At 52.7% G+C, this 12,851-nt stretch overlaps 2 annotated features.

Annotated features, from left to right (window-relative positions):
- Window positions 1,593–2,333: an enhancer, noted in NCBI's record as "H3K4me1 hESC enhancer chr6:33925615-33926355 (GRCh37/hg19 assembly coordinates)". NCBI's record gives its function as "activates a minimal SCP1, AML or CMV promoter by ChIP-STARR-seq in naive H9 embryonic stem cells {active_cell/tissue: H9 hESC(naive)}" and the evidence as "EXISTENCE:reporter gene assay evidence [ECO:0000049][PMID:30033119]".
- Window positions 2,334–3,073: an enhancer, noted in NCBI's record as "H3K4me1 hESC enhancer chr6:33926356-33927095 (GRCh37/hg19 assembly coordinates)". NCBI's record gives its function as "activates a minimal SCP1, AML or CMV promoter by ChIP-STARR-seq in naive H9 embryonic stem cells {active_cell/tissue: H9 hESC(naive)}" and the evidence as "EXISTENCE:reporter gene assay evidence [ECO:0000049][PMID:30033119]".

Below are 12,851 nucleotides of genomic sequence, written 5' to 3' on the forward strand. Positions count from 1 at the left end.
AAAATAGAGGACAACCACACGAGAGGCCACCAGCCTTGCCGGCACCCCAGGGCGAAGGACGCGCCTCTTGGCAGCCTCCTTGTCCCAGCACAGGGGGCATGCTCCTGCCTCTGGGCCCTGGCCGGGAATGCTCTACACCCAAATGCCCACAGGGCTTGTCGCCGCCACGTCCTCTCATGTGGGCACAACTTCCAGCCTTCTCCACGTCCCGCCAGGGGGCTGGGGTGGTGGAATGACTTTGGAGCCTGTTTCCTCATCTGTAAATAGGACAGTAGCTCGGCTTCCTGGGGCTGGCTGTGAGGACAAGGGTGCTATCCATGCAGGTACACTGAGACTGGGGCCCTGTGAGGGCCGGTGGCCCTGCCCAGCTCTGCCTGGGCTTCCTGCCTGTTGTTCTGGGGTGGGATCTCCAGCCAGTCAGGGGCCTACCCTCCTGCCTTGCAGCCTCCCAAGCACACCAATGCCCAGCAGCTCATTGGCCCCTCCCACTGTCCTGTTATACCACCTATTTTACAGACAGAGAATCCAAGGCTCCGAGAGGTGAGGTGACATGGCACCCAGGTCTTCTTACTGTGTGTCAGGCTGCATTCCTTCCTGTTGGACCGAGTCATATGACACAGTGTCTGCTTAAACCAACCTGTGGCGGTCCTGAGGTTCTATTGCTTGAGGTTCTATTGAGGTTCTATTGGGGCCAAATTTCTATGCCCAGTGTGATCAGGCTGTGTGAATTTGGGGGCTCTGTGGGGATACCAGCCTTCATTTATTGAGCCTCTACCATGTGCCAAGCATGTGACTCTGTGACTGGTTAATCCCCACAAGTCAAGGAGCAGGCAAGGTTGTCCCATTTTGAGACGGAGAAACTGAGCCTAAGGGACAGCGCCAGGCGTGCAGGATGTGGGTCTGTGCGCCACAGCACCGCCCGGGAGAAGGGGAGCAGGGATGAAGAGGAGGCGTAGACTCCATCCCCCAAAAAAAAAAAAAGTAAAGGGAGTGCTGTCTTGAAGAAACTGCAAGTGTGTAGAGTCTGGGGACTCTGGAGGGAGATGAGGGCGGGTGCTGATTCAGGAGACAGAGCTTTAGCCAGGAAAGCAAGCTGGCAGCCACTTGGGAACCACCAGTAAGCCAAAGCACTGGCTAAAAAAATGTTGGTTGAGGAAGAAGGAAGCTGACAGCCTGGAACTCAGGTGGCTTCAGTGTGCAGACCTGCACCTCTGAGCCCAGCCAGGGTGAGGAAGGGGCTCCTAGGGACACAGGGTTCATACTAGGCCACTGCTCCCCCAACCCTCCCCGACTTACATGGGCCCCCACTGGAGTCCAGAGAAAGGACTCAGCAAAAATTGGATGCAGTGGGTCCAGGGGTGTCACCGCCCAGGCCTGAGCCTCTTCAGGCTGTTTACCAGGGGTTAGGTAGCTGGGGAAGCACCAGGCAAGAGGGCATCTTATTGCCTTTGGTGGCTGTGTGTTTGTATGTGCTTATGCACGTGTGTGCACACGTGCATTGTGTATGCGTGTGCATATGATGCATGTGAATATTCACTTGCACATACATGTGTGTGTGAGTGTGTGTGTGTGAGTGTGTGTGCCTGTGCAAAAGAGCTCTGCAGGGAGAGACCGAGTACTGGGAGGGCAGATTCCCACCGCTCCCATCATCCCCCACTGAAGTTGGCTGGATGAGGAGGAGTACAAGGAACGGAAGGCCTGGGGATTCTTCTTCTCCCAAAGGTGCCACCACCAGCAGGGGAGGAAGGGAGGAGGAAACAGCACCTTATTTAAATGCAAATGATTGCAATACAACTTTCTTTATTAAAATGCAAATTGCACTTCAGTCTCTGACACCTCCTGAGTGCCATAGCCACAGAACACAACCAGGAATGAAAGCCGGAGGACCCCGCGCCTAGGATGGTGAGAGGCCCCATCTGCTGGGTGTACAAAGAAATGGGGAAGAGGGGGGTGGGCCCCAGGTGGGCTTGGGATGCTGAGCCAGGTGCTTATCCTCCCTCCGGGGCTGCTGGGAGACATAAGCGGCGGCCACCGATGCAGGAAATTCTGGCAGGAGGTCCAGACTGTCACCCCATGGGGGACCAGGCTAGAGCTTCACGGGTCGTCGCCTGTGGGCACTCTGCCTGGCTGGGTCAGCACTCTGTGCACTTTCCTAATGAGCCTGGGGTCTGGTTGCCAACATCATTAAACCAGTTGCCACTTGGTGGGTCAGAACCTGGCAGAGCACTGGGGTTGACCTACAGTGGCCCCCAGCCCGGAGATCAGGCCCCAAGGCAGGCTTTTCTTCCTCAGCCACTCTTCCTGCTAGGGCCTTGGGAGCAGGGCTGCCAGGCTGCCAGGTGCAGCAGTGCAGGTCATGACAGGGAGCAGGGGAAACAGGCAGGCCCATGCCCCTCTCCCCAAGCTCCGTGACCTGGCATGAGGCCAAGTCCTCAGGGAAGAAGGGTATCTTTCCTCACACAGAGGCACCCCTGACTTATGCGTTCTTCTAATTCATCAGCCTGCAGAGGGCGCCTTTTCCTAATTTGCACACAGACACTGTTGGAGGGGCGCCCAGACCCCCTGCTCTTCCTTCTGCCCCACTCCTCTGTCTCAGACCTGACCTCCCCTCCTTGCTCATTGGTCCCCTGGGGTTTCCACACTGTTCCCTCCACCCTTTCCTTTTTCCCTGTCTTCCAACCATTGTCCCACCCTCTCTGCCCCCCTTCCTCTGTGGATCCCTCTGGCTTGTCCCCTAGAATCAGCTGGCACTGGGTCCTTACCTAGTAGGGTTGGAGGCAGGTACAGGCAGCCGAGGAAGGGTGAGCCAGGCCCTTGCTAGCTCAAGGTGGCACTGGCACGTGTAGGGAGCTTGGGGCGTGGGGGAAGGTCCCGGCTCCTTCCATCTGCCAAGCTCCTAATATAGGCAGCAGCAGAGAGGGAGCGGGGAAGCAGGAGGTAACTTGGAGCTGGAGGTGACAGGCCTGCTTCCTCCATATAAATAGTCCCGTCTGTCGCCCCGGGGGCGGTGGCTTCCTGGGGCACTTCTGATGTCATCGGCTTCCCAGGAGAGCTTTGCTGGTACCTGTGGGGACCTGGGATGCAGGCTGAAGTGTGGGGGTGAGGGGTGAGGGGGGCTACCTTGATGTGTCTGAGGTCTCAACACTCCCCAGGCAGTTCTGGCCTCTCCCACTCGTCTTGCCATGGGACACACAGATGCCCACTCCCCAGGCTGTGCAGGCCTGGGCTTGAGCCCCACTGAGGCACCTAGAAGGGGACCCTTCTTGGACATCATCCACAAATTGCTCCGCTGGCCCAGGGGCTGTCTGAGCTATGGGGGGGCCTCCCCAAGGGACCATAAGGAGATGGGAGCCTCATTTAGCTTCCCCACTCTGTGAGATGGGCTGTGGAAGGAGCCACAGAGAGGGTTCTGGAGACAGACACAATGGCTCCTGGCTCTGGCCACCTGGACATTCCTCGGCCTGGCCCTACCTGGATGCTCAGACCTGGCTCATCCCCTGCAGGAGGAGAGCACAGAGCTTTCCCTCATGCCCCACGTCAGGTTCCCAGCTCCTGTCTGGTATTCCTGAGGATGGGTGTGGGCTTGTTCCCACTATGCTACCCTGTCAGGAAGGTGGAGAATGCAGAGCTGCCCCTGGCTGGCGCTGTGCCTTCCCCAGCACAGGGAAGCTCCCTGAGGACCAGGTGGCCCATCAGACAGGACATTCTCAAGGGCTCTGCCTCCTCCTCAGCCTGGAGCTCCTGGAGCGGCCTCGGGTTCCATCCCTCCTCCCTCCCAGCATGGAGAAGACTTGGCCTGCTGGTGATGCCCCTGCAGGATTCTGTGAGGGAAGCTGCTGGGGGTTCACCCAGTCCCTGACTAATAACAGGTATGGTGAGGTTAGACCAGGTTGCCTGGCTGCATAGCAGACTCGGGAGTGCCTTGCAGTGGGAGAAAGGCACTGGGCCGTGACCTGAGGCCAGACCCTCCCTCCCCCAGCTACTGGGCTGAGTTGAGCTAGGAGGGGCCCACATGGCACCCCTCACCCCAGAGGTGGGCTCCAGTGTCCCCAAAGGAAGGAACTAGGGTGCTGCAGGGCCTCTGTCGGCTGCTCCCTGTAGACCCTTTTGAGCCAAGTGTGTTTTTAACAGTGTGGCCCTTGCAGGACAGTGGTTAAGAGCACGGGCCCTGGTCCACACGCCTCTGTGCTTGCAAGCTCTGTGACAGTGGGAAAGAACCAACCTCTCTTCCCTCAGACTGAACTCACAACAATGACATGACATCGGGCAACAGCCCCTGGCACCTGGCAAGGACTGGACTGATGACTCAGGCCCCACCTCCACTTCCAGCTTCTCTGGTGGAAGAGTCCCTCATGCCGATGAGCCAGAAATGGGAAGGTGCTTCGTGGTGGAGCAGACCCCATCAGTGCTGCCCATGTCCCCTCCACCCTTCTTCAACTCAGTGCCCACCCACTCGCCTTCCAGGCGCTCAGTCTCACAGAGTGCCACGTCTGGAGTCTGCGCTGCCCTCCTACGCGGCAGCCCCAGCAGTGGGAGCTGGGAGGCCCTGGGCGCGGTAACTGTGGGGCAGGTTCTGGCTGCCTCCCAGCATTCCCAGCAGCATCGCGCTCCACTTGCCCACAGCAGCTGCCTTCCCTCCTGTCTCCCTCCCCACATCCACCAATTAAACTGGAATCCAATTGGATTTGAATCCTTGCCTCAAGGCCCACCTCTGGGGAGGCCCAACTAAGAGTTCTACACAGTTGTGAGCTAGCTCCCTGCAGGACCCAGTGACTACAGTGACTAAGAGGCTGGAGTGGAGGGCGCAGTGGCAAGGTCTGACTTCAGCCGCTCTGATGGCTCTGGGGCCAGGACTTTTGGCAGACACTTTGTTATCAGGCTCTGCAGATTCGGCTGCTGTCGGTGCTGTGACAGGAGCCATCTCCTCTTGTGTTCTCGGTCTACATGTCTTCTTATCAGCCCTTCTAAAAGGGCTGGCAGCTGGTGGGTGGCAGCAAAGTCATGCCCACTTCTCAGGGAAATGGGATCCGAAAACTGTGGAAGATTATTAACGTGCATTGGGTGTTTACCGTATTACATTTTGTTTACTCTCGTAACAACCCTGTAGACGGGGCTGCCATATACAGTCAGGCAGGTTGGTTGTTCACTGCACAAGGGAACCTGGCCAAGAGTGCAGCCTATGTTCTTTCCATATAGTGTGAGCCAGCCACTGCCCTGCTTATGAGCTGTATCATTGTCTCCATTTTAGTGTAGAGGCACAGAGAGTTTAAGTAATTTGTCCAAGATTTCTCAGCACATAGGAGGTTGTGCTGAGCTCTTAATCTAAGAATTTTGGCTGCAGAGCCTGCATTACTAACTATACTGCCTCACACTGCCTTGACAGGGCAGAGCCATCGTGAGAGCTAGAAACCCCAGGAGGGCTCCAACTCCTGGGCACCAGTCAGGCCTGGGACACAGGGACTCCAGAGAAGCAGGGGGAGAGGGTCACCTCCCCTAGCTGACCCGGGGTCTGGGGCCCCAAGTCTGAGCTGCCTGCCTCGGGTGTCCACGGAACCTGGTGCAAACAGAATAACGGCAATGGCTAAGAGGGCTTTACCTGGTGCTAGGTGCTGGGGGTTTATATTTGTTTACTCACTGGATCTTCCTAAGAACCTGAGGGTGTGTGCCAGTGGCTGCTCTTGGCCATTGATGTCCTCTCCCACCCCCTCCCCAGGCACACCACTGGGCCACGTCTCTTGGCCTCCCTTGCAGCTAGGTATACCTGTGTAACCTCCTGTTGCAGTGGGAGCAGGGAGACTGGCTCTGTGATCCTGTCTCTGTGATCCTGAGCAAGTCACCGGCCTTGCTCATGGAGCCTCCGCTTCCCCATCTGTAAAATGGAATCAACACGTCCCACCCTGCCTACCTCCCTGGCCAGGACTAAGCCAGCTGTATGAAGGTTTTAAAAATCACACCTGGAACTGCCTAGGCCAAAGCTTAACACTTACCTGTCATCTGCTTAATACAGCTCCTATTTCCAGTCTAGGTCTGTCTGTGGAAATCCCTTACCTTTCACTGCCCAGGAGCCAGTCCTTCCTCAGGCGGCCTTCCTTCCTTCTCAGACACAGAATAGCAGAGCCCACATGCCAGGGCACCCCCCGCTAATGACTCAGCCTCTATAACGAGTCCAAACATCTGGCTGACAAAGGGCACGGCTCGCTCCTGAAGCAGCTCCTTCTGCACAAATATGTTCTTAATATTCAATTAGTATTTATCCACCACGAACAACAATTACACCATTGACTCTCAATGAAGTGCCTGGTTAATTAATTAACACAGTCTTTTACATGCTGGCAGTATTTCTCAGTGAGTGCAATAGTTAAAATAATAGCACAGTGACGCCACGATGAGCTGGGGGGCTGGCGGGGGTGCCCTGGGTTTCCTGGGCTCCAGATGTGATTCTGGAGCCAATGTTTACCACACAAAGCATCTTCTGGACTTAAAAGGAAAAAAATCACACTGGGATTTTTGGCAGGCCTCTTAACGCCTCCCAGTTTCCTCCTCAGTAGGGGCTGGGCCGGATGCCCACCCCGGTTCCTTGAGTCCTATAAGCATAGGTTCTGTAAGTGACATTCATACCTGTACAGACACCCCCTCAGGTTGCCACACCCAGGGGCCCTCTAGGCTCCACGGGGCCCAGCATCTCGGAGCAGCTGACTCAAGACACCACTCTCGCCTCCCTGGCCCTCACCGACTAATCCAGCACCCCCTCCTCAGGCCTCATTTCTCCTTCCTGCTCCTTCCTGTGGGTGTTTTCAGAGCTCAGGTCTGACTTCAGCTTCGGTTTCTGACCTTGCTCTTCTCTGAGTCTCCTCACCACCTCATTTGCAGCCCACAGGTCCTGACTGTCCCCATCTTTGCTCCTGCCTTTATCAGAGCCTGCTGAGGGTACAGAGCACAGCAGCCATGCTGCCTGGGTCACCTGGCATGGCCACTTACTGGCTGTGTAACCCAGGGCAAGTTACTCAACCCCCACTACCCCTTGCCTTGGTTCCCCTACTTCTAGAATGGGGATAATCCTGTGGGAGATGATTGTAGCCGCCACCTGCACCAGCCAGGGTGGGCTGAGCTGCCGTACCAGGCCCATGGCGCATTGAGTGCATTGGCTCAAGCACAGCTGCACCTTCTTTCCCACTCCTGTTTCAGTGCAGGGCAGCCTACGCCAGCAGACGGGCCCCTGCGGAGCAGTGACCAAAGGGCCCAGGCTCTTTCTGTCTTGTTGCTCCACCTTCCCCAGGGGCCCTGCCCTTGTTGTCCCCATGGTCCCTGTGGTCTCCACGGGCCAGGGCCCTGCTAAAGGCAGATCAGACACTTTTCTGAAGGCCTGGCTGGCATCCCTCCCACCCAGCTTCCTTTGGTGACAAGGGGGTTACACAGGTACTCCTAGCTGCAAGGGTGGCCAGGGGATGTGGTCCAGTGGTGTGCCCTGGGAGAGAGTGGGAGAGGACATCAATGACCAAGAGCAGCTTCTGCCACACACCCTCAGGTCCTTAGGAAGATCCAAAGAGTCAATAAATATAAACCCCCAGCACCTGGCACCGGGTAAAGCCCTTTCAGCCATTGCTGTTATTCTGTGTGCCCACACCATGTTCCATGGGCACCAGAATCAATGAGACACATTCCTGTGTGTAAGAACCCCACTGAGGAGGATGGTAGAGGAGAGACACATATAACTCACCTACCACAATTCAGGAGGTGAACACCCAAGGTACATACAACATGCCATGGGACAGGTGGGAGGAAGTGAGGGGCTGGGAGGGGACTGTGGGCTGATTCTGGAGGAATGGTGGCAGTTGAACAGGTGGGAGGGGACTCGAGGCCTGGATCTGCAGCCAGGTCTGTGCTACAGCCAAGTCAGTCAAATTAAATTTCTCCCAAATATACCATTAGTTGCCCATGCAGGTGGAGAAGCCATTTTTGACTCTGTTAAACATTTTTTTGAGTTCCCCAACTGATTCAAAATGTTGGGAAACAGAAGGGTTTGGCTCTTTGGGAAGTTGGTCCGTGACAGACACCGCTGGTTGCCCACCCAGCAGACAAGATCGCTTCTTCTGGTGGGGAGGCTCAGAGAAGGGAGGCCACACATGATTGTCAAAGCCGGTCATGGCAAGCCCATTGCTCCCTTTTGCCAGTGATTGGCTTAAATGTGTGCATGTGACCCAATTTCAGCCAATAAACAATAAAAATAAGTCAGTTAGAAGGATTCTAGGAAAGATTTTACTCCCTGATAAAAAGAGCCATATGCTAGGAGAGGAGCTCTCCCTTCCTGCTTTTGGATATTATGGTGTGAGCGTGTGATGTGGCAGCCACTTTGTGACCATTAGGAAAAACATGGCTGACATGCTGAGAATAGCAGAGTGGAGGGAGGAGCAAAAATAGGACCCAAGATAATGTACTGAACCGCTGGACCTGCCCTGGACGTATTCAACCTCCTGACATCTTGTTAAGCAAGCCTGTGACCTTAAACCAGCTACTTCAACTTCTTCATCTGTAGAATGCATAACAATAGCACCTACCTCACAGGGCTGTTATGAGAATAAAAGTGATTTATTTGCAAAACCCTTAAAAATATGCCTGCACAGATGTCTGCCACTGTTGGTGTTAAATAACTAGAAGTAATTAAAAAAACTCCTGTTGGTTAAGCCATTTTGAGTGGCTTTCCTGTTACTTGCAGCCAAAAGCATCCTGGCTGATACTCAGGTGGTGAAGAATGAGCACCTTCAGCAGAAGGCAGGGCTGAAAAGCTGGCACGCAGGAGCCTGGGTCAGGGCTGGGGTGGATGTGAGGACCCTGGAAGGACCTGGAGCCTCCAGGAGGATGGTGTGATGTGCTGCTGTCTGATATGCCCCAGGAGGGGACAGCTGGTGTCTGCAGGGGCTGGGTGATCAGGGGACATCCACCCCTTGTCTCTACCAGTTGCATTCCAGCACACAGTCTTGGCTCAAAGGGCCAAACAGATGCCTGCTGCAGAGGGGATTTGAGCCCTGGACAGGATGGCCTTTCAGGTTCACAGGGGTGGCAGGAAGATTTGACTCTGTGTGCCTCAGTCTCACCTCCAAACCATTGAAGAGCCCTTTCTTTCTTTTTCCTTTTTTTCTTTTTTTCTTTCTTTCTTTTCTTTCTTTCTTTCTTTTTCCTTCTTTCCTTCCTTCCTTCCTTCCTTTTCTTTCCTTCCTTCCTTCCTTCCTTTTCTTTCCTTCCTTCCTTCTTCCTTTCTTTCTTCCTTTCCTTCTTTCTTTCTTTCTTAGACGGAGTCTGACTCTGTCTCCCAGGCTGGAGTGCAGTGGCGTGATCTCGGCTCACTGCAACCTCCGCCTCCCAGCTTCAAGAGATTCTCCTACCTCAGCCTCCCGAGTAGCTGGGATTACAGGTGCCTGCCACCACGCCCAGCTAATTTTTTGTATTTTTAGTATAGACAGAGTTTCACTATGTTGGTCAGGCTGGTCTCAAACTCCTGACCTTGTGATCTGCCCGCCTTGGCCTCCCAAAGTACTGGAATTACAGGTGTGAGCCACGGTCTTTCTTTCTTTCTTTCTTTCTTTCTTTTTTTTAAGAGATAAGAGCCTGAGCAACATAGCAATATCCCCATCTCTACTTAAAAAAAAATTAGCCAAGCGTGAACGTGTTGGCACATGCCTGTAGTCCCAGCTACTTGGGAGGCTGAGGTGAGAAGATCGCTTGAGCCCAGGAAGTTGAGGCGGCAGTGAGCTGTAATTGCACCACTGTACTCCAGCCTGGGTGACGTAGAGAGACTTGTCTTAAAGAAAGAAAAGAGAGAGACAAGGTCTTGCTCCATCATCCAGGCTAGAGTGCAGTGGCACAATCATGGCTCACTGTAGCCTCGAACTCCTGGGATCAAGCGATCCTTCCACCTCAGCCTCCCAAGTAGCCAGGACTACAGGCATGCGCCAACATGTCAGGCTACTTTTTAAAACATTATTTGTAGAGACAGGGTCTTGCTATGTTGCCCTGGGCTAGTCTTGAACTCCTGGCCTCAAGCAATTTTCTTGCCTCAACCTCCCAAAGTGCTGAGATTACAGGCCATGAGCCACCACGCCTGGCCAAAAAGCAAATTCTCTAATTAGATATGCCTTCCCCTACTTCTTCTGAAAAGATCTGTGCCTTCCCACTAGGTAAAAACTCACCTCCTCCAGGAAGCTGACCTTCATAAGTGGTCCCCATTGAATTGTGTTTTTTTTTCCTTTTCTCTGGCTCTAAAGGTTGGGATGACAGGATTTGCTCACAAGGAGAGGCAGGGTGTACCATATGGCCCCAAGATTCCCTTCCAGCCCAGACTCGCTGCATTCACAGGGTGCCAGGGAGCACTCACTTCTGAGCCTCATAGAAGGCTCTCTGAGAACTCCCACTCTTCACAGCCCAGCCCCCATATCAGGAGGAGAGGGTCAGGCTAGTTGCTTGGTGGAACTCCAGCCCTGGCTGACCCTAGCTCTTTCTCCAAGCTTCACCTGCTGCAGAGACACAGTCAGGTGGTAAGCTGTCACCACTCAGGGTTCTAGGTCACCAGCCTCAGCTGGCCTCAACCTGACCAAAAATCCACCTGCTTTTATCTGGCCTCTCTCACTCTGCAATGAACAGGTCTGAAACGGCTTGGATTTGTGTCCCAGCCCAAATCTCATGCTGAATTGTAATCCCCAGCGTTGGAGAAGGGGCCTGGTGGGAGATGACTGGATCATGGGGGTGGATTTCCCCCTTGCCGTTCTCTTGATAGTGAGTGAGTTCTCATGAGTTCTGGTTGTTTAAAAGTGTGTAGCACCTCACCCTTCACTCTCTTCCTCCTCTCCCGGCCGTGTAAGACATGCCTGCTTCCCCTTCCCCTTCTGCCATGATTGTAAGTTTCCTGAGGCCTCCCTAGCCATGCTTCCTGTACAGCCTGCAGAACCACGAGCCAATTAAACCTCTTTTCTTTATAAATTCCCAGTCTCAGGTATTTCTTTACAGCAGTGTGAGAATAGACTAACACAAGGTCCATCCTGCACACCTTCTGCCCTCTGCCCCTTGACCTTTCCACCACCTCCCCCTATCCTCAGCAGAGCACCTCCCTCCTTCTACCCAGAGCCAGAGAAGCCAGTAGAAAAGAACCCCCTCAGCTTCCTGACTGTAACAGATGATCTGTGTGTCCTGCTCCTCATCTCATCGGCCCTTCTTAGATTTCAACTGCAGCTGTGCAGACTGTTCTCCTCCTCCAGACTGAAGCATCCCACTCCGGCCCGCCACTCTCTTGGCTGGCAAGGGGCAGGAGCAGGAGTCATGCAGTGCAGACACAAGAGATGCAAGTGGGAGTCAGTACCTCTCCTGTCTTCCTTAGATGAGAGAGTGGGTAGATAAATATCCTTCTGAGGGACAACTCTGTGGTGCCTCAGAGGGTCCCAGTGGGATTGAGCACCAGTTGCCCATAGTGACAGCAACTCCATTTCCCTCTAACTTCTGGAACTAATCTTCCCTATCTCTCCAGAGTATTTGGCACTACTGTCCACTCCCTACACTCGTTCCACCTCCCAACACTCTGCTGGTTTCCCTCTTTCCCCTTGGGATGCCTCTTCTCAGCCTTCTCTGCCAGACCCTTCTGGTGTGGCTACTACGTGTTGATGTTCCTTGGGGAGGGCCTTATGTCCACGTATTCTCATGTGGTGTACTCTCTTCCTAGGAGTTTACCCTTGCTGGTAGCTTCAGGACATCTGCATCTGTGTGTGTCCAACCCAGACCACTCCCTCAAGTAAACACCCGGATATCTGCCACCTGGCTTTCACCTCCATTTGGGTATCTCAAAGCTACCACAGAATCAGTACATCCAAAACCTCCCACTACAGCTTTTACCACTCCTCCTGCATTCCCCATTGCAGCAGGGGTACCAGTCTCCATCCAAAGAGGGCGCAAGTCACACACCACCATGGGATCAACCTGGACTCTTCTCTTTCTCATCCTAACATCCCATCTACACCAAATCCTCTAGATTTTGCTTCCTAAATCTTTCCTGCATCTGTCCACTTTTCCCTATCTTATCGCCACCAAGCCTTGTTCAGCCATCTTCACTCAAAATAGCAACCTAACTGGGATTACCAGATAAAGTACAAGAGGTCCAGTTAAATTTGAATTTCCAATAAACAATGATTTTTTTAAGTATGAGTATGTCCCAACTATTGCACAGGACATATTCACACTAAGCAATTATTCAGGATTTATCTGAAATTTAAATCTAACTGGACATCTGTTTTTAATTTTTTTTTCTAGTTAAAATTCCATGAATTCCTTGAACTATTTCAAGGACCATCCTGTATTTTTATTTGCTAAATCTGGTATTCCTAATCCTAATTGATCTCTCTGCATCCCCACATTGTAGCCTGATGACCTTGTTCAAGCAAAATTTGCTAAGTAGACCATGAAGTTAATTTAAGTATGTATATTGCAATCACTAGATCCATCACTTTTAAAAAGTATACAAGAAGATATAGTTTTTTTAAAAAACTTAATAAGTAAATTAAAATAGAATACAAAAAATAGTCGACCCACAAGAAAGCAGAAAGGAGAAAACAGGGACTAATAACAGAAGGCAGAAATAAAAATCAAATAATGAAACCTCTAAATTCAAAAATATCAATAATTACACTAAATGTAAATAATCTAAACATATCAATTAAAAATCAGAAATTATCAGAATGAAAAAAATAAACAAGACCCAACAATATGCTGTATAATGATATAAATACGATAATAGTAAATGAAATGCCTTTCAAATGTAAATTTTTTTAAAAAGCTAGGGCCAGGAGCTGTGGCTCACACCTGTAATCCCAGCA

The sequence above is a fragment of the Homo sapiens genome, chromosome 6, assembly GCF_000001405.40.
Source record: "Homo sapiens chromosome 6, GRCh38.p14 Primary Assembly".
Lineage (NCBI taxonomy): Eukaryota > Metazoa > Chordata > Mammalia > Primates > Hominidae > Homo > Homo sapiens.